The sequence below is a fragment of the Homo sapiens genome, chromosome 19 (assembly GCF_000001405.40).
Source record: "Homo sapiens chromosome 19, GRCh38.p14 Primary Assembly".
Lineage (NCBI taxonomy): Eukaryota > Metazoa > Chordata > Mammalia > Primates > Hominidae > Homo > Homo sapiens.
Genome location: NC_000019.10, coordinates 56,477,859 through 56,505,256, shown reverse-complemented (window position 1 = coordinate 56,505,256; position 27,398 = coordinate 56,477,859). Strand labels below are relative to the sequence as shown.

The window sequence follows — 27,398 nt, the reverse complement described above, 5'->3', positions numbered from 1 at the left end:
GTTGGTGACCAGGTGAATTTGGATTACAAATTAATTTCTGGGACAGAATATGATATTCTCAACTTTTGGAACTTCAGGTGAGAGTTGACCAGTTTTCCCCACAGGCTCCATGTGGTCAACGTTATTTGTTTAGAATTGGAAATGGCCTTGTATGACACTGGATCCAACTTATCCTAGCTTGGGGTCAGCTTTATTAATTCTAACAAACTCTTTTTTGTTTGTTTTGAGAAAATGCAAAGTTTGTTTAATCTCTTCAGGTTTCACAACCAGTGGTAGCATAGTGAGTTTATTCACGCCATCATGTTGAATTTTATAAAAGAATCTTACATATGGTTGACTGCTAACATCTACTTGCTTAGTCCCTGAGATTTGCTTATATGGGATAGAGTAGGAATTCCTACAAAAAGAAAGAGAGGTCTGAAAGATAAAATTCCTGGAGTAGCACTGAGTCAGAGTCTCTGGCAGAATCCCAACAAACTCACAGTTCCTGATTTACAGCCCAGGGATTCTTAAACAGTGGTGCCCAAGTGTAGTAACATCATTTGATTGTCCAAACATTAGTTAGCCTCTTCCCTGCCTTATATTATAATGTTCTTCAGGGCAGAAATGACCCGTATCTTGTCCTCTGTTCCTTCTACAGTGTCTAAGTAGATGTCAAGCACATAGTGGGTTATCAATACATTTTGTTAAATGAATGAATTAAAGAAGGACAAGCTATAGCCAAAACTTTAATGGGAGTTTGATGTTTTTTGCCTTTTGCAAGAATCTTGAAGCAAGAAGAATGGATACATTTATTCTTATTATCTCTCTTTTTCATTTAAGATTGTTTACCTAGTGAGAAATCCCAGAGATATAGTTACTTTTGGTTATTATTTCTGGAGAATGAGGATGGTCAAAAATACGGAGTCATTTAAATAATATTTGGAATGGTTTCTTCAAGGATATGGTGAGTCTGACTCTAAATATGGGTTCTTGGCCAGGTGCAGTGGCTCACACCTGTAATCCTAGCACTTCGGGAGGTCGAGCTGGGAGGACTGCTTCAGCTCAGGAGTTTGAGACTGGCCTGGGCAAAATGGTAAGACCTCGTCTCTTCTAAAAATCAAAAAAATTAGCTGGACATGCTGGCCCATGCCTGTAGTCCCAGCTGCTCAGGTGGCTGAAGTGGGAGGATTGCTAGAGCCCAGGAATTCAAGGCTGCAGTGAGCCATAGTCACACCACTGCACTCCAGCCCAGGCAACAGAGCAAGACCCTGTCTCAAAAAAAAAATGGATTCTTCCAGGTGCAGTGGCTCACGCCTGTAATCCCAGCACTTTGGGAGGCTGAGGCAGGAGGATCACCTGAGGTCGGGAGTTCGAGACCAGCCTGACCAACATGGAGAAACCCTGTCTCTACTAAAAATACAAAATTAGCCGGGCGTGGTGGCTCATGCCTGTAATCCCAGCTATGGGAGGCTGAGGCGGGAGAATCGCTTGAATCTGGGAGGCGGAGGTTGTGGTGAGCCGAGATCACGCCACTGAACTCCAGCCTGGGCAGCAAGAGCAAAACTCTGTCTCAAAAAAAAAAAAAGGATTCTTGAAGGGGTAGTGGAGTTTCTGCACCTCAACAGGTATTACTGTCTCACAGTTTAAATGAATGTTGCCATCCAAACTTCTAAGTGTTGTTAAATATCCGATACCTCCAGTTAGCAACAGAAGCTCAGTCAACGTGCTTTGTCCATACAAATTATTCTAAGTACTATGAACATTAAAAAAGATAACTTATGACATTCAAAATAAGAGGAGTGTAATTCACACTACACTGAGATACCATTTCTTACCTATCATACTGAGAAGTGTATTCATTTTTTTATCTCCGCTGTAACAAATTACCATAAACATAGCAGTTAAAGCAAAACAAAACAAAAAAATTATGTTGTGTAGTTCAGAATTCCAAAATATACTTTATGAGCTAAAATTAATGTCTGGGCCTAGCTGCCTGCCATTCCTGAGGCTCCAGGAGAGAATCTACTTCTTGCCTTTGCTGGCTTCAAGAGCAGTGGTCCTCAACCATTTTGGCACCAGGGATGGGATTTCTGGAAGATGGATGGGGCAATGGTTTCAAGGTGAAACTGTTCCACTTCAGGTCATCAAGCATTAGTTAGATTCTCATAAGAAGCGTTCAACCTAGATCCCTCACATGCGCAGTTCACAATAGGGTTCACGCTCCGGTGAGAATATGCTGCCACTCATCTCACAGGAAGCAGAGCTCAGGCGGTGACGTTTGCTCGCTGCTCAACTCCTTCTGTGTGGCCTAGTTTCTAACAGGTCACAGACTGGTACCGGTCTGCGGCCCAGGGGTTGGGGACTCCTGTTCTACAGGCTGCCCTCATTTCTTGTCACAAGGCTGCATCTCTCTTGTCATCAGGTCTCCTTTGCTTCTTACACTTCAGCCTCCCTCCTATAATGACCCATGTGATTACAGTGCCTTCACCTGAATAGTCCATGGTGCTCTCCCTGTTTGAAGATCCTTTAATCACATTGGCAAAGTCATTTTTGCCATGAAAAGTAACAAATGAACAGATTTTGAGATTAAGACATGGACATCTTTGGTGTTGAGAGCGGTGGGGAGGCTCCTTCCTACCACACAGCTAGCATTCAAATTATTCAGATCACTCTAGTGGAGAGACCCTGGGTAGACAGGTATGCTCATATGTTGGCGGTTAGAAGGAAAATGACACAAGTCTGTGTAAGATAAGTTTGCAAATCCTCACATTCTAACACTTAAAATTTACATTTTCATGCAGAATTCCCCCTTCTCCAGTGAAAAAAGTATACAAGCAAAACCACGAAAAAGGTAGATTTACAAAACTATTCAAATGTTTCTTATTTGTAATAGCAAAAAAGAACCAAAATTCCCACCGACAATATCCTGGAACAGCACCCAACTTACAACAAGAATAAGGAATACTGCCACACCACTGCAGAGTGGCCTCTAGGATCCCCTGTTAACTTAAAAAGATTAAGGTATGGAACAAAGTTTGTGACTATTCTACCAATGAACCAAGACAGAGGACAACCCAGAAGACTGCACAGGGAGAGCAGAGCTGGCACAGCTTGGAGTCAGGGTTGGGAGTCAGGTGTGGTCAAGACATGAAGCTACTAACGTCTGCATGGTCGATATCATGGACAGCCTTAAATACAGAATTAAGGAGCTTGGATTTTAACCTGTATTCCGAGTTTAAAAAAATACTGTTTCTGACAAGTACTCTCAGATTTTGGGAGTGGAATTTTTATAAAAGATATTTTAAAGGCTGTAATGCTCCCGCCCCCAAATTTAAAACGTGTTCTAGTTTTGTCAGCTTATCCAAGTCTCCAGCATCTTGCGAGGTTCCCCTATGAACCCATGGAGTATCCATATTTTTAACTACTTCAATTTTGGTATAGCAGCATGGCATGGCCCCAAGGTCCATGATCTTGCATGTTCCTGCATAAATGCTCTCCTTTCAGAGCTCCAAGTGTCTGCATTCAAACAGTGACTATCCAACTTTTTAATAGCTGTTTTTCGGCAGAAAGATGACATAACTTCTATGAGCCTCAGTTTTCTTATTTTTCAAATGGGGATTGGGACTGTATTCATTGAAATAGTGCTGAGACCCCTTCCATGCATAAAAATAATGTGGTATCTTCAGTGTAAGATGAAAAAAAAGTCTTCCTTTTGGTTTTTGAAGGTCTTGGAGTTTATTATCTATATCAGGTTGAACACATCACTTGGTTATTAGAACGTTAGATCATGTCCACAATCAGAGCTCCTATTGGATTATTCCAAACCCTGAGTTGCAGACAACATTAGACATGACAAGGAATTCAAGCAAAAGGGAAACAGAAAACACTGTGCTTTTTCAATGAATCCAATGTAGGAATTGAGCTCCACCTTTTTCAGGAATAGCTGCAATTGTGGAATCAAACAGAAGTCCCTAAATCTCTGCAGTTTTCTGCTTGAATGTTTCATTTTCTAGGTCTCAGTGTAAGTTTCTATTATTTTGTGCCCACATGACCTGAATGTGACCTGACCATTTCTGAGTATGAGGAATTCAATTTTATTGTCCAGATATACAGAGAGAAACAAGTTCACTGTTGATACAAAGAGCAAAAATGTCAAGAGAAGAGGCACTGGTGTGCATACGTCAGATGCCCCACTCTGCAAAAATCAATAATATCTAAGTAATAAGATTCCTCGGGACATGACCCTCCAGCCACATTCATCTGAAGAGAGTACAGATGTGAGGGGGAAAACTCCTGATAACATGTGCTGTCCCAAAGGTTTGTGTGAGTGGAGGATAAACTAAAGATACGTGTTTGCTGCAGTTAAGTACATCATTTTCTGGCATAGCAGAGAGTAGCCAGATTCACAGCAGAAACGACAAAGTCATTGACTCTAAATTAGAGGACACTTAAGTTTAGCTCCTACATTGCTACCTGCATTCTCTTCACAATTCACAATCTATTTCATCACAGACAGAGGTGAGACTCATCTTCAATACTGTATCTCACACAACACCCACTGCTCTGTATCAAGGCTGTAAAGGCAGAATTCCATTTCTCATGCAAATGAGGGAAACAGGAAAAGAATACACGTGTGTAAACGGTAAGTAATACTGTTCAAGACAATTGCAATGGGGGAGAGACAGTGAACTCAACTCCCCAATATAGCAACAACAGTTGGTTTTGTAGCCAACTATAAGAGTAAGGGGGTCAATGGGTGGGAAATCACAAACAGGAACTTGATTAGGTATTAAGGGTAGAATCCTGCTAAAGGCAGGCCAAGGACTTAGACATTAAGGGTGGAAGATGAGGAACCTGATCAAGGATAAGGGAATTCTCACTAAACCTACTTAACAGGATTCTTGCTAAAACTGGGTGCAGCAAGGATGGACACAGAAATCCAAGGTCCAGGCCTACTCAAGAAGAGGGCTCAGGGAAGCCTAAGAAAAGTCTGGTCAAGGAGAGGTCTGGGGCTCAGGAGGACTTACCAGTTCCACCGGAGGAGAAGCTTGAACTCAGTGGGACTTCAATGGGCCCCTGCTGGTACCTTAGCTCCGGTTTCAGGCAACTCCTTAGGGGTCCTGAGTCTTCTCTGAGGCCCCACGTTTGGGCGCCAGATTATTGTTGACGAAGAGTCAAACTCTGTAAAATATTTTAAGAGATTTATTCTGAGCCAAATATGAGTGACCATGGCCCGTGACACCGCCCTCAGGAAGTCTTGAGAACATGTGCCCAAGGTGGTTGAGGTACAGCTTGGTTTCATAGATTTTTAGGGATGCATGAGACATCAATCAAATACATTTAGGAAATACATTGTTTAGGTTCAGAAAGGCAGGACAATTCAGAGTGGTGGCTTCCAGGCTATAGGTAAATTTAAACATTTTCTGGTTGACAATTGGTTGAGTTTATCTGAACACCTGGGATCAATAGAAAGGAATGTTCAGGATAACATAAAGGATTGTGGAGGCCAAATTTTATTGTGCAGAGGAAGTTCTCAGCAGACTTGAGAGAGAGAGCAGGTTGTAAAATGTTTCTTATCAAGCCCAAAAGGGTACCTGGCTCTTAGTTGATTATCTCCTGGATCTGGAAAGAAATGAAGGAAAACAAGGGGGAAAGGAGATTCTCTATAGGATGTGGATTTTTCCCAAAAGAGACTTAGCAGGGCAGTTTCAAGGTATGGCAAGGAAATATATTTTGGGGTTAAATATTTTTTTCCTGGTCTCATAATGTTATGCCAGAGTTATACTGAAAAGTAACTCGTGATGCGTAGGGCCAGACAAAACCCATCTGATGAGAATTTATAGTTTGTAGGGCATGACTCCTTAGACCCCTTAGGTAGGAATTTGGGCAACATAAAAATATCAGAGCTTAGTCCTCATAGCATAGCATAAAAGTCTAGTTCTTTTTTTTTTTTTTTTTTTTTTTTTTTTGAGACAGAGTCTCCCTCTGTCGCCCAGGCTGGAGTGCAGTGGCACAATCTCAGCTCCCTGAAACCTCCGCCTCCCCAGTTTAAGCAATTCTCCTGCCTCAGCCTCCCTAGTAGCTGGGACTACAGGCACCTGCCACCACACCTGGCTAATTTTTGTATTTTTAGTAGAGATGGGGTTTCACCATGTTGGCCAGGACGGTCTATCTCTTGATCTCGTGATCCACCTGCCTCGGCCTCCCAAAGTGCTGGGATTACAGGTGTGAGCCACTGTGCCCGGCTATTTTTTATTTATTTTATTTTACTTTATTATTATTATTATTTTTTGAGATGTAGTCGCGCTCTGTCGCCCAGGCTGGAGTGCAGTGGCACGATCTTGGCTCACTGCAACCTCTGCCTCCCGGGTTCAAGCCATTCTCCTGCCTCAGCCTCCTAAGTAGCTGGGACTACAGGAGTGTGCCACCACGCCCAGCTAATTTTTTTGTATTTTTAGTAGAGACAGAGTTTCACTGTGTTAGCCATGGTGGCCTCAATCTCCTGACTTCGTGGTCTGCTCATCTCGGCCTCGCAAAGTGCTGGGATTACAGGCGTGAGCCACCGCGCCTAGCCTATTTTTCACAGTATAAAATTCAGTGGCCTTGTTATAATCAGAGTTATGCAACAGCCACCACAATAGTTGAGAATACTTTAACGACTAAAGAAATCCTACCCACTAGCCATTACTTTTTATTCTCTTCTCTCGCCAGTCCTTGGCAACCACCAATCTAATTCCTCTGTTTATCTATTTGCCTACTCGGGACATTTCATACAAATGAGATCACAATATGTGGTGTTTTGTGTCTGATTTTTTTTTTTTTTTACTTAGCATAATGTCTTCAAGGCGCATCTAGATTGTAGCATGCATCACTATGTCCTTGATTCAACATATCCCACTAAATTAAAGGGTCAGTTTAGAAACTGATTAAGCCTGTTTGAGCCTATAGTTTCCTTGTGTAAACAGATAATGCATCCACAGTGCTTTGTACCATAGAACATGGGTTGATGTGATGGTTAATTTCAGGTATTAACTTGAATGGATTAAGGAATATGTATGTAACTGGTAAACATTACTTCTGGCTGTGTCTTCAGGGTATTACCAGAGGAGATTGGCTTATAAATCAGTGGACTGAGTGGGGAAGATACACCCTCAACATGGGTGAACACCAGGCTTACCTTCATGATCTATAAATAGCCTTCAAATCAATGCTCATCCACATTTCTTTGACTCACTATATATTTAAGTAAATAAAACCTCTTAATTACTTTTGTTCTGCCTTATCAGCTAGTACACATGTGATTTTAGCTGGATGTACAGAATGAGATCAATTGTTTTGTGGGGTCTCTTTTGTGAAAGGGCTGTATATGCAAAGCATTCCCCAACACAGGAGTCAAGAAACCAAAGAATGAGGTAGACAAATCTAGTATGTGCCTGTAATCTCAGCACTTTAGGAGGCTGAGGTGGGAGGATCACTTGAGGTCAAGAGTTTAAGATCAGCCTGGTCTCTTTATTTTCTCATCTCTGCAGAAAATAAGAAAAGTTAGCTGGGCTTGGTGGCGCACCTTGATGGCACACCTCCTGAGTAGTCCCAGCTACTCAGGAGGCTGCAGCTGAAGGATCGCTTGAGCCCAGGAGGTCAAGGCTGCAGTGAGCTATGATGGTGCTACTGCACTCCAGCCTGAGTGACAGAGCAAGACCTTTTCTCAAGAAAAAAAAAAAAGGCATTGGCTAAATCTAATACAGATGATAAGTACCTATAGTTTGTATAGTTGTTCTATCACTTAGATGATATTAGGCACAACAGGGTATATGTCAGCAAATACCTTATTGAATTCCCTGTAGTCTACTGTCACGTGCCCGGTGCTGTCAGATTTCCTTTCCCAGTCACACAGAACTCCTGAAGGGACTCTGGGCTGGCCGACTAATATTAACTTTGGCTAGTTCCTCTATGGTGGCTGTCATTTCTTTTATTCTGCCAAGAAAATAATTTGTTACTTCACACTGATGATACATCATGGGGGAGGAAAAAGTACAGGTGCCTATTTCACTGCCACTCTTTAAATAGTGTTTACCACCCAAACTCATTGGTGGAATTCCCCCATGGACGTTTGCAAAGTGCATCCTTAAAGGATGTCCATATCCAACATGTTTTCTGGAATAGGTGAGATAAAGACAGTATAGTAAGCAGGGAAACTCCACCATCCAATACCAAGAAGGGGAGGAGTTTGTTCCACTTGGATTGTTTGTCCCCAGTAACCATCTAGAGCTGTCCACTTACCAGCGTGTCTCTCTGGGCTTCCAAGAACTAAGGTGCACTCTGCACCTGTGTCCACTACAACTAGTGTCCTCTGCATGTGTTTTTCAACTCTGATATTGTGAGCTCCACATGGAGCCTCTAGTCACCCTCTACTGCTCATCCCTAGAGGCAACCTTGCCCCCCTTCCGCCCCCTCCCACCCCCGCCCCCCGCCCCGCAGTCTGTAGGCTGGATAGGAGTCCAAGGCTGGAGCAGAGACCGGAGTTCTTTTTTAATACATAGTTTCATCTCCTCCATCCTCCTTTTCTGGCCGGATGCTGGGAAAAGGTCTAAACAGTTGGGCGGGAGTTAAGTCCTTTCAAATGCCCACCAACATGGCATGAGGTTGCTGATTCCGTTTCTTGGTTTATCCCAGCTGAGATCAGATTGTACCACATTTGTTTTCTGGTAATCCTAACTGGGTCTTTTAGACCTCCTTTTTCAAGTCCAACAGACTTGCTATCTCCTTTTCTTTTCCCTTGGTAACCAGTTGGACCTTATCCCTTCCCCTTTCAGTTTCTCCAAGACCAGCTACGGCATCCCGCACATAATATACATCTTGTCCTACAAGGGGACAACTGCAACTGCTGGTCATAGATGGCCTGCTGCATACCCAGCTCCCCTGAATTGCTCTGTGCCTCCTCCAGAGACCACCATGCCAGTGTCTGACCTGGGAAGTCCCCTTCACTGGGCCTCTCGCATAGCCACACCACCATCCATGTGGCTATGCTGTCTCTTGGCAGCTGCTTTAAGAGTTCTTGCTGTGTCCAATAGTTCTGCTGAGGTGTACTCTCAGAGTTAAGCTTTGCTGTGAAAAGACTGCTTGCTATTGTACAGCTGTATCTGTTGGGTTTTGTTTTCCTCCTGCCCTCAAAAGGGGAGGACAATCCTCCTACTCTGAGATAACCTCTGTCTTCATCTGACTCACAAGTCGATTCCCAAGGATTCCAGGTCTCAGCATCTTGGTCTGGTCTAGCAAGGACAGCTCACACTTGCAACCAGTGCAGTTTTTGTCCTCGCAGCTGCATAAAAGCGGCAGACAACAGTTTCCACCTGCACCTCCTGAGTTTCAAGCTTATGCACCAAATTAGATGCTAACACAGATGTGGAGATCCTCATATCCTTCTCTAACTGTAATTACTTCTCTAGCTTCTGTACCTTTGTCTCGGTTGCTAACTGTACTTCTGGGGTCACATGTGCAACCCATAATAGCGGCCACCCCTCTGTTGCCACCTTCAGGGACCTTCAGTGCATGGTGTGGTTTTCTTCTCACAAGCACTCTAGACCCTGTAGTGTTCTGGGCCATCCCCGTACTCAGGCGGTGGTCTGCAGGCATCCAGCAAACGGGCAATATCACCCCACACACACAGAGGGCTGCCCCAAGACTTCCCCAACTGAGGCTTCCTTCCCTTGCCCATACTTTGGCTCCTGAATTCCTCCTGGCTAGCTCACCAACAGTTTCATGAAAGAACCACATAGGGAAAGCAAATCCATACCAAAAAGGAACCAAGAAACCAAAGAATAAGGAAGACAAATCCAGTTTGTCAGTAGAAGGTGATTTATTGGAAAGTTTAGAAACATGTGGCAACAAGACAGGTAGATCTCTGCACTGTTACTCCCCAGACCGAGAGCTTACATACCATATAGAAAGAGCATAAGTGCTTCAGAAGGAATGTGTAGGATCGCTGAAATTGACCCCTCAGGGAAAGGCAAGAATGCTGTGTCTCATAGCCCATAATTTGCCAAAGGACAGGACTTAGGTAAGTACATGTTTATGATAACATCAAGGTTGTCTTGGCTTACACAAGCAACAGTAAGTAAAGTAGAAATCTTGAGGCATTCCTGGGCCTGGGGTTAATCAGAAGTCAACATGGCAGATTAGCATCCAAGATGAAGTGGCATCATCCTGCACAGTGTCCAACGTTGTACACTTGATTAGGAGGGAATAAACGAGATTGAGCACTAGGAGCAACAGTGGCAGGACACCCAACAGCCCAAAGTTGGAAGGAGCACAAGTGTTCACTGATGGATGAATGGATAAACAGAATGTGATCTAAACATACCATGAAATATTATCCAGCCTTTAAAAGGGGAGGAAGTTCTGATGCATGCTACAACATGAATGAACCTTGAGGACATTATACAAGTGAAATAAGCCAGGCAGAGAAGGATAAATGCTGTATGATTCTACTCATATGAGGTACCTAGAGTAGTCAAACTGATAGAGAAAGTAGAATGTTGGTTGCTAGGAGCTGTGGGGATGGGAAGATGGGAAGTCGTTTAATGGGTAGAGTTTCAGATCTGCAAGATGAAAAGGGTTCTAGTGATGGATGGTAGTGATGGCTTGCACCACAATGTGAATGTACTTTACTAACTGCACATTTCAACATGGTTAAGATAGCAAATTTTCATTGTGTTTTTTACCAGAATTTAAAAAGAAAAAAAGGGTTTTTTGTTTTTGTTTTTTTCAAAAAAGTCACAGGACAAAACAAGGTGAGAATGGTCTCATGAAAACCAAAGATATAGAGTGTTTCTAGAATGAAGGATTCATTGAATGCTGCTAAGAAAAAGATGAGATGAGGAATGAAAACATCAGGGGGACTAATGAACAGGGGCACTACTGCTGAAACCATACAGTGTCTTTAAGATGCAGAAGTAGGGTTGAAACCACACTGAAGTAGGTGACACTCTCTTCTTCCTTATCCGGGAATGAGTTGGTTGTTGGTGATCATCAGTCTGATCCACTCCAAGAGAGATCGTAGCAGGGTCCAGTCTGTGCTCTCCTGCGATCATTCGCCATGACTAGAAGTTAAAACTGGGCAAGAACATGTAGACAGTCAGAAAGGCTCATGCTTCTACTGCTCTCCCCTCCCCATTCAGGTCTTCTCCAAGTCATTAATTCCAAGGCCAAGGTGAGTTAATAATGGAATGTCCACCAGGCATGGTGCTCACGCCTGTAATCCCAGCACTTTGGGAGGCCGAGGTGTGCAGATCACGAGGTCAGGAGATCGAGACCATCCTGGCTAGCATGGTAAAACCCCATTTCTACTAAAAATACAAAAAAATTAGCCGGGTGTGGTGGCACAGCTACTTGGTGGGCTGAGGCAGGAGAATCGCTTGAACCCAGAAGGCGGAGGTTGCAGTGAGCCGAGATTGCGCCACTGCACTCCAGCCTGCATAACAGAGTGAGACTCCGTCTCAAAAAAAAAAAAAAAAGAATGTCCATGTGGACTACTTTTCTGACTGCCCTCAATATCTTTGTTTTAGAAACAAACTTAAAATGTGATTCAGTAAAGTAAGCAGATTAGAAAATCTTGTTCTAAGCTACAATGTCATATACAAGAGAATCTGCCTGGTATTGCCCCAGAGAATATTCAGTCTTCAGTTTTATAAATCCTGGCTGCACCCTCAACACAGAGGCACCCAATGTTGACAAGCCCATGTGGGAAGCACCTCAATTATAAGCCAGTACCTCTATTTGAGAGGAAATATAGGTTTGGTACTCACATGTGAAACCCAATTGGGTTTTTCTAACCATGATATTACCTATTCAGACCATGTCTTTCCCAGCTGAAAGGACTCAGATGCATCATTTCAGGAGCTCTACATAAAACCTCTAGCATTGAGTGACCCTGTGCTATAAAATGTGAATGTGTACTCATCATAGATTATAGTTTAAATCATATGGCATTAAAACCATCAAAACTGTATGAAACTCCCTTGAAGCATCTTAGGTGATGTGGTAGTAGCAGTATTATCAAGATATTATAGGCCAGGTGTGATGGCTCACACCTGTAATCCCAGTACTTTGGGAGGCCAAGGTGGGCAGATCACCTGAGGTCAGGAGTTTGAGACCAGCCTGGCCAACATGATGAAACCCCATCTCTATGAAAAATACAAAAATTAGCAGGGCATGGTGGCACATGCCTGTAATCCCAGCTACCCGGGAGGTTGAGGCAGGAGAATCGCTTGAACCTGGGAGGCAGAGGTTGCAGTGAGCCGAGATCACGGCACTGCACTCCAGCCTAGGCAACAGATAGAGACTCCATCTCAAGAAAAGGAAAAAAAAAAAAAAGGTATTACAGTATTATGCTATCACATTGTATTACTACTGTGCTATGTTTCATTTGCTGGCTTACTTACTGTCAGGCTGATTCATTTTACCGTGACATCCATGATTATGAAGACCATGTTTATTATCTTACTATTTTTACTGTTTTATACTAATTTGGCAAAGTGCTTAAAACGTTGTAGAGATTTAAGAAAATATAGGATGAATAAATGAAAAAGAAAACAAATAGCCCAAGCAAACAGCCCAAGACCAAGCTCTGTAATATGATTGTGACTTTATCTCAGAAAATTCCAGTTTGAACCTTGGTTCCACATTTTGTCTACTGGCAAATAGTGCAGCGTCTTTGAAGCACAGTTTCTGTGTGTTTAAACTGGCAGTACTGATTCTTCCATGTACTCACTTCTGATTATTAATTAACTTATGTATGCATTCATGCCTTTTATTCCTTCATACATTTAAGTATTATGCACCTATCATGTGTCAGGCTCTGAAACAGGATTGAGAAAAAGGTGATGATTAAGATGACCCCAACCCACATATTAAGGGAATTTACAGATTTGTATTTGGGCACGACAAAGAGTAGACATATACTTGGTTTCTGTGGTGACAATATCATTTACTGACAGCCTAGCTTAGTATCAGATCCCAGGGTGCAGTTGGTGAAAACATCTATTTTAAGAAATATCATAGATAGGTAAAGAGGGTGAGGCAGGGAGAAAAATACAGAAAAAGTATTGGTTGTCCCAGGAGATTAAATGCAGTGTTTACTGATGGAGTTATGCAGATGGAGGATTTGGTGACTTTGTCAAGCTGAACGAGGAGAAAATCTGGAGTTATTAACTGATTCCATTTACCCACCATCTTTCTTTGTACTATTTCCCTCACAATTTTCACTCTTATCTACATTGCAAAAACTGTCTACGGGGTTATTTTGCTTTAAACACTCAGCTGTCTTTTAAGTTAATTGGAAGAGGAAAGAAAATGTCTTTTAAATTTACTCCTTTACTGTTTCTTGGCTTCTTCCTTCCTTCCCCCTTGACATACACTATGATTCCTCACAGACTGAAGGACTTTAGAATTCGTTGTCGTGTAGAGCTGACAGCAATAAATTCTCACAGCTTTCATGTTTCTAAGATTACCTTGAGTTCATCCTCATACGTGAAGCATATTTAGCATGAAGGTTTTTTTTCCCCCTTCAGCACTTTAAAGACAACTTTCCATTTTCATTAGGCCTTTGTTTTTCTGATGAGAAGTTAGGGGGCATTTTTCTCCTCTTTCTCCACTGCCTGGAATGTGTCTGTTTGTAGCTGGCTGCTTTCAATGACTCAGCTAGATAACAGGAGTGTTAAGAAGCTGTTAGAAGTCACTACTATTTGGTAAAATTCTGGTGATCTTGCCCCATGCCTGTACAGCCCAGCCCTTAGCCATAAATGTACAGAGGACTCGGACGCAGACTTCTTTCATTGATCCATTATAGCTGTATGTCTAGCACATAGTAGGTTCTCAATACATTTTGTTAAATGAATGATTTAAAGAAGGCTGAGCTACAGCCAAAGACTCTAATGTGAGTTAAATTTTTTTATCCACTTGCAAAAATCCTGGAGCAAAGGAAATGGATATATTTATTCTCAATATCCCCTTTTTCATTTACGATTATTTACATAGTGAGAAATCCCAGAGATGCTGTTATTTCTAGTTACTATTTCTGGAGAGCAATAAGGATGGTCAAAAATCCAGAGTCATCTGAAGAATATTTTGAATGGTTTCTTCAAGGACATGGTGACTATGACTCAAAATAGGGGTTCCTAGAAGAATGGTGGAGTTTCTACGTCCAGGTCTTACTGTCTCATGGTTTAAACAAATTTTGCCCTCCAAACCTAGGTGTTGGTTAAATCTCTGGTACCTCCAGTTAGCAACAGAATCTCAGTGAACATGCTTTGTCCCTCCAAATTATTCTAAGTGCTGTGACCATTTAAAAATACAACTTACCATACTCAAAATAAGAGAAGTGTAATTCAAACCACACCGAGATACCATTTCTCACCTATCACACTAGGAGGTTCATTAGTTTCTCTCTGCTGTGATGAATTACCACAAATACAGCAGTTAAAACTAAGCAGTTTTGTTTAAACTGCCATGTTCTGCAGTTCAGAATTCCAAAATATGTCTTATGAGCTAAAATTAATCTGTGGGCCTAGCTACCTGCCATTCCTGAGGCTCCAGGAGAGGATCTACCTCTTGCCTTTTCTAGCTTCTAGAGGCTGCCCTCACTTCGTCACATGGCCACATCCTTCTTGTCATCACATCTCTTTCTCTGCTTTTGCCACTTATGCCTGCCTCTTAAAATGACCCTTGTGATTACACTGTCTCCAGCTGGATAGGCCAAGATAATCTCCCCATCTGAAGATTCTTTAATCACACCTTCAAAGTCACTTGCGCTATGAAAAGTAACACATTCACAGATTTGAGGATTAGGATATGGACATCTTTGGTGTGTGTGTACTGGGGGACCTGCTGCCTACCACAGCTAGCATTCAGATCATTCCAATCACCCTAGTGGTGAGACTCTCATAGACAGGCATGCTCATATATTGGTGGTTAGATGGAAAATGACATAAATCTATGTAGGAAAAGTTTGCAAATTCTCACGTTCCTGCAGTTACATGTTCATGCAGAATTCCCCCTTATCAAACAGAAGAAGTACAAAAGCAAAAACACAAAAAAAGATGGATTTACAAAACTATTCAAATGTTCTTTACTTGAAATAGCAAACAAGAAAGAACCAAAATTGCCACTGACAATATTCTGGAATAGTACCCAACTTAAAACAGGAATAGGGAATACTGCCACATCACCGCACAGTGGCCTCCAGGATCCATTGTTAACTTAAAAAAAATAAGATATAAAGAAAAACCTGTAGACTAGGCTACCAAGGAACCAAGCTGAAGGACAAACTCAGGAAACTGCATGAGGTGAGAAAAGCTGGTACAGCTTAGAACCAGGATGGGAGTTAGGTGTGGTGAAGGCATTAAGGTACTAATATCTGCATGGTCAACATCATGTGCAGCTTTAATCACTATATTAAAGAGCTTCAAATTTAACCTGTATTTCAATTTTTTAAAATATTGTTTTTAAAGGGTGGACTTCCATAAAAGTTATTTTTAAAGGCTATCATGCCAAAAATAAAAAATTTAAAACATCATTTTTCTTTCTGCCAGCTTGTGCAATTATCTGGCATCTTGTGAGATTACCTTGTAATTCATGGAGTAACCATATTTTTAACTAGTACAATTTTTGCTATAGCAGCATAACATGCTCCCAAAGTCCATGATCTAGCATGTTCCTGCATAAATGCTCTCCTCTCAGAGGTCCCAATGTCGGCATTCAAACAGCGATTATTCAACCTTTTACTAGCTATTTTCAGCAGAAGAATGGTTTAACTTCTACGAGCCTCAATTTTCTTATTGACCAAAGTGTTCAGAGCTGCTCCATGTTACAAAAATACTTAGCATCTCTGGCTGGGTGCAGTGGCTCACACCTGTAATCCTAGCAATTTGGGAGGCTAAGGCAGGCGGATCACTTGAGGTCAGGAGTTAAAGACCAGCCTGGCTAACATGGTGAAACCCCGTCTTTACTAAAAATACAAAAAAATTAGCCGTGCATGGTGGTGGGCACATGTAATCCCAGCTACTTGGGAGGCTGAGGCAGGAGAAGAGCTTGAACCTGAGAGGCAGTGAGGTTGCAATGAGCCAAGATCATGCCACTGCACTCCAGCCTGGATGACAGAGCACGGTTCTGTCTCAAAAAATAAAAATTAAAAAAAAATGTAAAAATACTTGGCATCTTTATTGTAAGATTTTTAAAAGCATCCACTTTGGTATTTGAAGTTCTTGGGGTATATGATCTACATGGAATTGAGCAGATCACTTCATTATTTGCACTTCAGCACCATCATGTCCACAGCCATAGCTTTTACTGAATTATGCCAAACCTTTAGTTGCAAGAAATATTAAATGTAAATAATTTGAGCAAAAGGGCAATTATGAAAACACTATGCTTTTTCAATGAATCCTACATAAGAATTCAACTCGACCTCCTTAGAATGAGCTGGAGCAGTGGAATCAAACAGAATTCCCTCAATCTCTGCACTTTTCTGCTTGAATGTTTCACTTTTTATGTTTCAGCATAGGTTTCTATTACGTATGACCCGAAAGCAAGCTGACCATTCCTGAATATTAGTTCTTCTATTTTACTGTCCAGATTTACAGAGAGAAACAGCAAGTTTACTCTTGATATGAAGACTAAAAATATCAAGGGGAGATGCTGGTGTGCATGTGTCAGATGCCCCACACTATATGTCAACAATATCCAAGTAACAGGATCCCTTGAGACATGACCCCTCCAGCCACAGTCATCTGAATACAGTGCAAATGTGAGGAAAAACCTTCTTGGTGGGTAGAAGATAAGCAAAAAACATGTGTTAGCAGCCATTAATTACATCATTTTCTGGCATAAGAGAAAGCAACTAAATTCATGATAGAAACAACAAAGTCATTGACTTCAAAAAAAAAAGAACAATGAAGTTTAGCTCCTATATTTGCTAACTGAATTTTCTTCATAATTGAAAATCCACTTCACAGGTAGAGGTGAAACTTATCTTCAATACTCGATCTCACACAGCACCTGCTGCCTTGTATCTAGGCAGTAAGGGCAGAATTCTATTTCTCTTGCAAATGAGAAAAAAGGGAAAAGGATTTCCATTCACTTCACCCATGTGCTCCTTAACTACTTATGGCATGCATACAGTGGGCTGCAACTGTGCAGACAATCAAACCCATCACCTCTTTTCCTCATCTTTCTCACAGTGACTCATGACTCATGGTATGACCACACTCATGGCTGGCTACAAATGAGAGGAAAAAAGAATGTCCTGATAGTAGCATGTGAGGAACTGCATCAGGTAACCATCTTTCCCCAAAATTCACTCTCTTTCACACCATTTCACAGCTATCTTCCCTCCATTAATGGTTCTATTCCACTGTCCCATTCAAAGGTTATCCCAGTGAGAAGATCAAGGATGGTCGCTGTCTGCCTTTTCTTCATTGTTCCAGTTAGGTGGCAAATGTTATTTATTCAATTTTCTTATTTCCTCTGGCAACATTTCATGCATGTATTGAGGAAGAGCTTAACATATACATGCTGAGGGCTATCAACAATTCTAGGGAAAATTTTGATGAATTCTAGAAACCCAGAGGCAGTGTCAGGAATGGGTGGGAAGGAAGATGGGGCTTTGAGGGGGCTTCAAAAATGGAGCAAGAAGTATTTATATATTCCAAGATTGACAGGAAATTGGATTCCAGCAAGGATGGAGCACGTCAATATTCAAAGACATGCACAGAAAGGGATGGGTGCCATCAAAAGTGGCTGAAATAGAGCTTAAAGTTCAGTCAATGTGCATTGGGGCAGCTAAAGGCCGGGCTCTCCTCAAGGGGAACCAAGGTTTGAGTTTTACAGGATGAGAAGAGAGGAGTATATCTCTGTGTCTGAACTCAGGTGGCAGTTTTCGTCTATTGTGAAACCTACTGTTCTAGCCTCTCTTGGTTTTCTTGTCCCTTGCTCAGAGTGGTTGGGACAATCCCACTCTAAAGAACTGTTTTGCAAATCTCACAAAGAGTCAGTTAATAACCATTTATGGGGTAGAGAAGAAAATAAAAGAGGGAAAACTGGGGAATCTATCATTTCTGTTCTAGTCCATTTACATGGGTGATATACAAAATTAGGAAAGCTGGTCATTTTGGTTGAAAGATAGCTCTATCTTAGAGATTTAAGTTGGATTAAAAGAGGTAAAATACACCATAATCATTTCCCACTCACCATCTATGCTGTTGCTGTTTCTTCTGCTAGAAAAATTTATGGTGTCCTTGCATTGATTTGACTAATTCTTTACAAAACAGCTTAAAATTATCTAGCATATAATCTCCCTAAAAATTCATACCCTCAGACTAATCACACACACACAAAAGTCACACAAACTCAAACTGAGGGACATTTGATAAAAATCCTGATGAGTGACAAGGTCATAAAAGATAAAGACTGAGGAATCATTGCAGACCCAAGTAGACTAAGGGACATGATGGCTTAAAGAAATGTGAGATTTGTGACTAGAACCTGGAACTAAAAAAGATAATACTTGGAAAAACAGTGGAAATCTGAATAGTCTGCAGTTTCTCTGAGAGTATTGTACCAATGTGAAGGTTTTAGGTTGACTAAGGTACCATGGTTCTATATGATGGTAGCATTAAGGAAAGCTGGGGAATGTGTATATAGAAACTCTGTACCATCTCTGCAGCTCTTTGGTAATCCAAACTTATTTAAAAATAAAACTATTCAAGAAAGAATGAAAAAAATTCACTACTTCATAAAAGCCTTTTCTGAAATAATTAATATCCTAAAGTTATATGTTCCCGTAGCTCTCAAAACTTGTTTTCTTTTTTAATATTCCTTGCCATTTATTTATGTCAGTGTTGGTTTGCCAGCCCATGTTCCTCTAGTTTTCAGGCTAAGAATGTATCAAGGACACTCAGATCTAACGGCATTTAAACAGTCTATTTGCCTCTGAAGAGCATTCTCTTATAAACACTATTCTCTATCATTTATTCAGATTACACGTTTGCCAGACGAGCATAACAAACTCATTCTCTTCCTATTTCTCATTTTTTCTTTCCTCCTCATCTTCATTCTCTGCTGCCACTGTTTGTTTTCTTTTTCCCCATTGTATTTACCCTCATGTCCTCTCTCTTGTGGTTCTCATCCTAGGACATAAGAGCCAGTGTAGAGATAATCAGCCAATTACTGGGCAAGAAACTAAGCCCAGAAGAACTGAACTCAAGTCATTAAGCACACATCCTTCCAGACCATGAAAGATAATAAAATGAGCAACTATTCCTTACCATTTATGCCTGAGGTTGCAATTTTTTGAATTTCTGCAATCAGACCTTGGCAATGACTTGAACAGTAGGATATAACTCCCACATGCTTAGCATTCCAATAATGGAACACTAGCCATAAATGGGTACTTGATAACTATATGCATCACAGTAAAGGATGGTTCATGAGAAAAGGTAAGAGTTCTAGTATTAGGATGTGAAAGAAATAAAGACTGAATTTCCCTTCTTCTATTGATACACTAAGACATGAGACAAGAAAAATATTTGACTTTATAAAATAACATAAGTGGCTCATGACTTTGAATGACTAAGAAATGGAGTATTTTTAAGATTATGAAGAAGACTTCTGAAAACAGAGCATTGTTAATGAATAGTGTATATCTTGGGAAACCATCTGGCCTCTGGCCACACTCTTTTTTTTTTTTTTTTTTTGAGACGGAGTCTCGCTCTGTTGCCCAGGCTGGAGTGCAGTGGTGCAATCTCGGATCACTGCAAGCTCCACCTCCCGGGTTCACGCCATTCTCCTGCCTCAGCCTCCCGAGTAGCTGGGACTACAGGCGCCTGCCACCACGCCTGGCTAATTTTTTGTATTTTTAGTAGAGACGGGGTTTCACTGTGTTGGCCAGGATGGTCTTGATCTCCTGACCTCATGATCCGCCCGCCTCGGCCTCCCAAAGTGCTGGGATTACAGGCATGAGCCACCGTGCCAGGCCTGGCCACACTCATTTTCTAGATATTGTTCATCATGTAGAGCACTCTCACGTTTTCTTCTTAGAGAGTTTCTTCTGCTCACAGTGCTGATCTAGGCCCTAGCCCTGTGGAGTGAGTCTTTCTTCACATATACTGAAAATAAGGAATGTTTATCCCACCAAAGAGGCTGAATAGAACCCCTATGGAGAAAAACAGAGGGCAGACATGTGACTTATTACAGGTCAAACCTTCATCTGAGACCCTGTAATAAAGCCTAAACATGCTCACCACACAGTGGGCACTGGAAAGAATGAGGTTGCTGACTTCACAGGGTGGGAAGATTCCATTTTCAACCTGCAGTCTACAATGGGGTGGTTGGGAAGACCTCAAGGAGAGGATGATATTGACCTATTTGCTGGGCTCCCCAAGGGAAGAGCATTCCAGGTAAACGAACAGCAATGTACAAAACCTTGATGTGGAAGCAAACCAGCCACGTTTGAGGAAGAACACAGGAGGCCAGTGGGACTAAAGTGGAATCTGAGAGATCACAGTGTGGGGTTTCATTAGAGTTGTCTAGGCCATTGTGAGGAATCTGGATTCTATTCTTTGTGAGGTAGAAAGTCGCTGGAGAAGTTAAAGGAGACCAGAACATGATCTGACTTAAGGTTTTATAAAATTAATCTACCTGATATGTTAAGAATACATGACTATAAAAAAGTGACAGAATGAGTTAACAAGTTGTTGAAGTAATCCACGTGGAAAATGATGGTGTCAATCATCAAATGGCCAAATAAAAAGAGGTTCAAGGATGGGGGGTTCATCAGCAACCTCACATCTTGGTAAAGATTTAGGTAGAAGAAGGACTAATTGATCCTTTAATTTAGCATCATGGACAACTTTTGGTGACATTTATAAGAGCAATTTCAATGGTGGCGTTAGAGGCCCAGTGTGTTCAAGGAAAAATGTTATCAAGGAGCCACAGACAAAGAACAAAGACTACTCTTTTTAGGATCTTTTCTGAAATGGGGAACAGAGAAATGGGGGAGTTGTTTAAAGAGTATGCATGACTTAGAGTAACAGTGTTTTTAAATTAAGGGAAATTCCAGAACATTTTTATTATTCTAGAATGATTTAAGAGAGTAGGAAAATTATGTGGAAGACAATGCTCATAATTATTAGAGCAGACAATGCTCATAATTATTACAGCAGACAATGCTCATAATTATTAGAGCTACACCCTGAGCAAGTAAGCAAAGCAGTGAGAAAAGTGAGCCTCAGATGAGTGGTTGCCCTTCAGCAGGAACATGGACAGCTCATCCACAGTAATGGGAGGGGGCAGGGGGATGATTGTCCTGTTGGGAAATGTGGAACTTCTTCCTGACCCATCCTGGTTTACTCATTAAATGTGCCTCAAGGTCATCGGATGAAAGAGAAGATTGGAAGAAGCTACTGAAGGTAAAGCAGAAATATAAGGTATGATGTTTTCTCAGGCAACAAGTCTTGGTGTAAGTGGACATTAAGGTTAAAGAGAGATAAGTAAGCAAGGTTTTCTGGTTTCATCTCCTGTCATGTTTAAAGTTGAGTTTACTTGGGATTAGTGTTTATCAGATGAATTCTCTCTAGCAAAAAATGCAAAGAAGTGACTAAAGTAATTAAAGTGACTAAAGTAATTAATTTCAGCATCTCAATGTGGGCTATGAAGTAAATTAGCTCATGAGAGGAAAGGGATAGTAAGATGAAGGTAGATCACTCAATTGTAATTCTCGAGTTGAAGTACTGTGGAAATGGAGTAGCTGCTAATGCACATTTTCTTAAAATATAGATATGTGACATTGAAATGATGGTGGAAATACATACATTATTAATGAAACACAGGTGGGGTAATCTTTTAGTTGAGTGGCTGATGGGGTAGAAGACATGGTCACTAGAAAAGGTCAAGGAACAGAGAGGTGGAGCAAGATGGCAGGAAGGAACACTTCAGCAAACCCCCAGGCAGGAAAATAAATTTCAACAACTATCCATGCAAGAAAATATATTCACAAGAGCTAAGGAAACTAGATGAAAGATCACAGTACCTGGTCTTAGCATAACAAGGAAAGACAATTGAAGACAGTAAGAAGGATACTCTCCCACTGGCCTCACCTCCCTTCTTCCAACCCTAGGCAGCATAGCACGGAAGGCCTTAAAGGAAGGAGAGGGAAACGTGCATGGTACAAGTACTTGCCCTGCCACAGTAAAACACAGCACTGGGCAGAACCTCAAGGCCCCTGAGTACAGAATGGTGGCCATGAACAGAGATTTTAGATCCACCCCAGGCCAGAAGAGAATCTGCCACCCACACAGGAGGGTCCCATGTCCCAGACCACTTCACTGCTGGCTGACTAAAATGGCCTCAGCCCTAAATCAATTCACTGGCAGGCAGCCTCAAATCAATTCACTGGCAGCCATAAGCCTTGGGCAGGTAAAGAGACAACCTACAGATTGGGAAAGAGTAATTTGCAAACCATGCATCTAACAAGGGATTAATATTCAGAATATGTAAGGAACTCAATTCGATAGCAAAAAACTAAATAATCTGATTTTAAAATGGGAAAAAACCTGAATAGATACTTCTCAAAATAAGACACACAAATGGCAAGCAGGTATATGAGAAATGCTCTATATCACTAAGCATCAAGGAAACGGACATCAAAAGGACAGACAGCTCCTGGCCAGCTTTCACAGTACAATTGCTAAGATTATATACTGTGATGGGATATAGGTGCAGAAGAATGCCCTGCCATGTGCAGTACCTCTAGCCTTTGATTAGTACAGCAGAAATAGCAACCATTAGGACTGTGGAATAGGTGCCTTTTAAAAAGTGCTACTAATGCAAAGAGCAGAGAAAATAACAATCTCAGATACCTTAATCAGCATTCTAAAGCGTGAATATCAAAAGGAGCATTTAAAGAAACTGTCATCTCTTGCAGTCAGAGGGCAGGCAGAGCTCAAGTCCGAGCATATGCACTTATTGGAAGAGGTGACTCAGGCTCAATTTCTCAACTACACAAGTCTCCCAAGCCAAAGTTGGACCCTTGATGAGGAAAGAGTTGGCTTTAGGACCGGAGATGGGACATATAAGCAGATGAAGTTGTAGATCTTAAACAGTCATATTCTCTTTAGCCTTATTTTTGCTTTAAGAAGAGTTTCATTCAGTTTCTTGAAAGATAAGGCCCCCCTTCTTTGAAGACCATGCAGAAGCATCATATCAGCTATGTACCTCACAAGATAATGCTTGCCTTCCATAGGAATGTGTATACCATCGAGGCCAGGATTTCAAGACCAACCTGGCTAACATGGTGAAACCCTGTCTCTACTAAAAATACAAAAATTAGCCGGGCATGGTGGCAGGTGCCTGTAATCCCAGCTACTCAGGGGGCTGAGGCAGGAGAATTGCTTGAAAAAAACCTAGATATGACTGTGATTTTAAGACTTTTGCAAAACACAATGCAAATAAGCCAGCACACAACACTGAGTAAATGTTTGTCAAAGGGTAGACAGCAGTGTCTCGTAGTTTCTATAATTTGCTGAATTTATTTTTCATGTGTTCAGTAGATAACTTCAAGATATAAAGAAACCTGGTGCACAACTGGGTTATCGATCGTAAGCATTTGAGCAAAACTACACACCAGGGTTCATGCCTGACCTCAGGGTAGGAGAAGCTCCAGGACTAGTGGGATGTGACTGATAAGTGAAAGGGAGGGAGAGAGAAGCATACATTTGTGACAGCATAAGGAGATTCATTTGCATGTAAGCATCTAGCACGAAAAGATATATGCTGTTTCCTTAACTCTTCAACACCATGCTCTCAAATCCTCTGAAAATATTTCTCCCACAAGAACTTTATTCTGTTGTCACAATTCAGGCCCTTGAAATCCCACAAATAAACTGTATACCTCCCCAGTGATATCCTGACTCAATTCTCTCTGCTTAATCCCTTCAAACAATACTCACAAATATGAGTTCTGCTATGGGCTATGATACAGAAGCTTGTACTAGACAAGTCTTCCTATCATAGCATATGGCAGATGCAACTATGTATGGTAGATCCAACTGTGTATGGTAGACACTGATAGCAATAACTTAAGCATACTCTGAAAATGACCCAGCATGGCAGACGCACCTGAATACATGTTCGGAGTTCCAAATATGACCAACATGGAGATTCATCTTTATCTATGATAAATGCCTGAGTCCCTGGCCTGTCCTGTGGAACGTGGGCCCTATAGGGGATTAAGGCTCTTTGTCTTGGGTTAAATGAGTCCCTGGCCTGTCCTGTGGAACGCTGGCCCTATGGGGGCTGAGGCTCTTTGTCTTGGGTTAAATGAGGGTTGCCATGTGGATGCTGTTAGGAGGAGAGTATTAAGTGAAAATGCTATACAAAGTCCATGCTTTCTGCAGGCGGTGGCAGTTCTCCTGTTCAGCCTACCACCACTGGACCACTCTGTATGTAAGTTCCATCTCACATATAACCTATGCCTCATTTCCTGGATCTGAGTCTCTTCTTCAGCCTCTTGAACCTGGTGCCATCCCTTTTGGAGCTGAAAGAGTTGCAGCATGACACAATAGCATACTACGAAATTAAACTATATCGGGGCAGTTTTGAGGCAGTGGACAAAAGATTCATGTGAGAGGGGAACCTGTTAACAAGCTGAGCCTCTTTATCTCCCCATTCTCTGTCTAGGGATAATTCCTCAACTACAGTGGACAGAGCTGGAATCTGAGCCAAGCGGAGCAGTCATGCTGAGTTCAGGAAGCCTCACTGCTAAATGCCACCTATCAAAGTGGCCTCCCCTGACCATCCTGTGTAAAATAATCCCTCCTTCCTCTCTAGACTTTCTAGCGTCTTTACCCTACTTTTTTTTTTTTTTTTTTTTTTTTTAACAAATTAAATCTTGGGCTGGGCGTGGTGGCTCACGCCTGTAATCCCAGCACTTTGGGAGGCTGAAGCGGGCAGATCACGAAGTCAGGAGAGTGAAACCATCATGGCTAACAAGGTGAAACCCCGTGTCTACTAAAAGTACAAAAAAATTAGCTGGGTGTGGTGATGGACACTCGCAGTCCCAGCTACTCGGGAGGCTGAGGCAGAAGAATGGCCTGAACCCAGGAGGCGGAGCTTGCAGTGAGCAGAGATCACGCCACTGCACTCCAGCCTGGGCGACAGAGCAAGACACTGTCTCAAAAAAAAAAAAAAAAGATTCCAGATACTCTGGAGCTGTCATAGGATCAGGTATTTAATTTATGCCTGTAATTCCCATGGGTTCCTGGGGCAGGGGGGGAAGTGGTGGGGAGTCCTGAGGTGAGAGTGAGGGAAGGTCTGACCAAATCCAAGACCAGGACTAGATTCTGGACCTGGGCTCTGGGACAAACTGTCTTAGAAAACTCATGGGTGTCTTGGGAGATAGTTGCTTTATTCGGAGAATGGGCACAACAGAGCCTGATCAGGAGCCAAGACATCCGACCCACACACTCTGGTTTCTCTGAACTAGGACAGTCTGAGGCATAAAGCTTTTTCCCAGATTTTCGCACTAACATGCCCCTAAAACAGCAGAAAGGATGACATACTTTCTTGGGAGGTGGTTTAAAGAAAACAAAGAAACTGCCAAGTGACAGATTTATCCTAAGATTTCTTGGATCTCTTGACCACACCCCTTATTCTAGTATTACCAGGTATTTAGAACAATCTCCAGTCTAGAAAGAAACTTGCTCCAAGGAACAACTCAGAGAACGGCTTACAGGATTAAAGAAAACCTTAAATGGAAAAATTCACTTTTGACCAGGGACAACAATCAGTAAGTGCTAGCTGCTAGTCACAGAGGTAATGGTAAAAGTCCTAATAGTAGTATCTGTTAGCTTTTATTTTTATTATTGCTACTACCTAATCACAGAAATGGGAAACCAAAACTAGTTCCTCACACATTCTCCCTACTACCTAGTCCCCAAAACTTGCTCAGAGTCACCTGGGAAGAAAGAAATCACAGGCCCTGGGTTCCCCTCACACATATACCCACCTATGCAACTACAAAAACTGGGTCTCAACACACAGGCGGGTACACACACACAGAGTCAAAAACACTGGCTTTCCTTGGCCGGTCGCGGTGGCTCACGCCTGTAATCCCAGCACTTTGGGAGGCCGAGGCGGGCGGATCACGAGGTCAAGAGCCCACATGGTGAAACCCCGAATCTACTAAAAATACAAAAAACTTAGCCGGGCGTGGTGGCGGGCGCCTGTAGTCCCAGCTACTAGGGAGGATGAGGCAGAAGAATGGCTTGAACCTGGAGGCGGAGGTTGCAGTGAGCCGAGATCGCGCCACTGCACTCCAGCCTGGGCGACAGAGCGAGACTCCGTCCCAAATCAATCAATCAATCAATCAATCACTGGCTTCCCACACACACACAACACTCATCCACAAAAACTGGCTACGGCTCGAAACCTTAGTCGGATAGTATTTTAGGCTTTATGGGCCACAAGATCTCTGCTGCAAGTACTGAACCCTGCCATTGTGCAAAAGCAGTCATAGAATAGACGTAAATATACACAAGTATACATATTCAAAATGTGTGGTTCCCCACAGAGACGTACACACCGCAAAAACTGGGCTCTAGAGTCAACAGTAAATAGTTCAGGCTTTGTGGGGCCACACAGTACCTGTTCCCACCTACTCAACTCTGCCCTTCCGCAGAAGTGGATGCAGAAGCTAAACAAATGTCCAGAACATACACACATATTCAAAATCAGTGCCCCCCGCCACGTACAAAACCACAAAAATCGCCTCAGAGACACACGTATAAGAAAACACAAAGGTTCGTCCTCACACATGTTCAGGGTAACACAATGTGGGTCTCACCTACACAAACGCGCGATCAAAACCCGGGACCCGCACGCCCAGATGACCGGGACGAGGCCATACTTCACATCTTCTCTCACAGACTCACAATTACGCAACGGTCACCTCAAACGACTTTATGGCGGACACTCCCGGACCTTCCGCTGTCCGCCCCTCCTCGTCCCTTCTCCCCGCCGGGGTGAGCCTCATCCACCCAGTCTCAACCCCGACGCAGTCAGTCTCACTGCCAGCCCGCCGGCTACGCAGGCGCAACACCGCATGGAACAGCCCCCAGGGCGTGCAGGGGCCGTTGGGAAATGTAGTCCGAGCGCCACGCAAAGGACTGTGGGCCTCTTCGCAAAACGTGCAGGTGAGTCCCCACTGTTGGCCAAAAGAAACATCCCTCCGCTGCTCTCCCGGGTCAGTTCATCTCCGACCCGGACAGAGCAGAACCAGCGCAGCCCAAGCCTTCTTCACCTCACGTTCTGGGTGGGACTTTCCACAGCCTCGCTGCACCCCGGTGGATTCTGGAGGTCGCAGGATG

The 27,398-nt window shown here is 42.4% G+C and overlaps 1 protein-coding gene and 3 long non-coding RNA genes across 7 annotated transcripts in view; 3 read left to right on the top strand and 1 right to left on the bottom strand.

Annotated features, from left to right (window-relative positions):
* Positions 1-1,506: 1,506 nt before the first annotated feature.
* LOC124904776 (uncharacterized) lies at positions 1,507-16,684 on the top strand. The gene is made up of 3 exons (XR_007067352.1): positions 1,507-1,607; positions 2,784-2,833; positions 16,612-16,684. It is a non-coding gene; the product is annotated as an uncharacterized LOC124904776 (long non-coding RNA).
* On the bottom strand, positions 9,820-27,383 carry ZNF667-AS1 (ZNF667 antisense RNA 1). 2 transcript variants are annotated; one of them, NR_036521.1, is made up of 2 exons: positions 26,876-27,383; positions 9,820-11,094 (listed from the first exon to the last, which is right to left on the bottom strand). It is a non-coding gene; the product is annotated as a ZNF667 antisense RNA 1 (long non-coding RNA). The 2 variants fall into 2 exon arrangements; NR_036522.1 differs by having other exon boundaries at positions 26,981-27,133.
* LOC105372471 (uncharacterized) lies at positions 16,698-19,303 on the top strand. The gene is made up of 4 exons (XR_007067351.1): positions 16,698-16,783; positions 17,217-17,311; positions 17,405-17,461; positions 19,168-19,303. It is a non-coding gene; the product is annotated as an uncharacterized LOC105372471 (long non-coding RNA).
* Positions 27,164-27,398, top strand: part of ZNF667 (zinc finger protein 667) — a 38,765-nt gene continuing 38,530 nt past the window's right edge. Inside the window, exon 1 of one of the 3 annotated variants that reach the window (XM_024451637.2) lies at positions 27,164-27,224. The gene's annotated coding sequence lies outside the window, so the exon portion shown is untranslated. The remainder of the gene's footprint in view (positions 27,225-27,398) is intronic. The other 2 variants (XM_024451642.2, XM_047439212.1) reach the window with 2 other exon arrangements.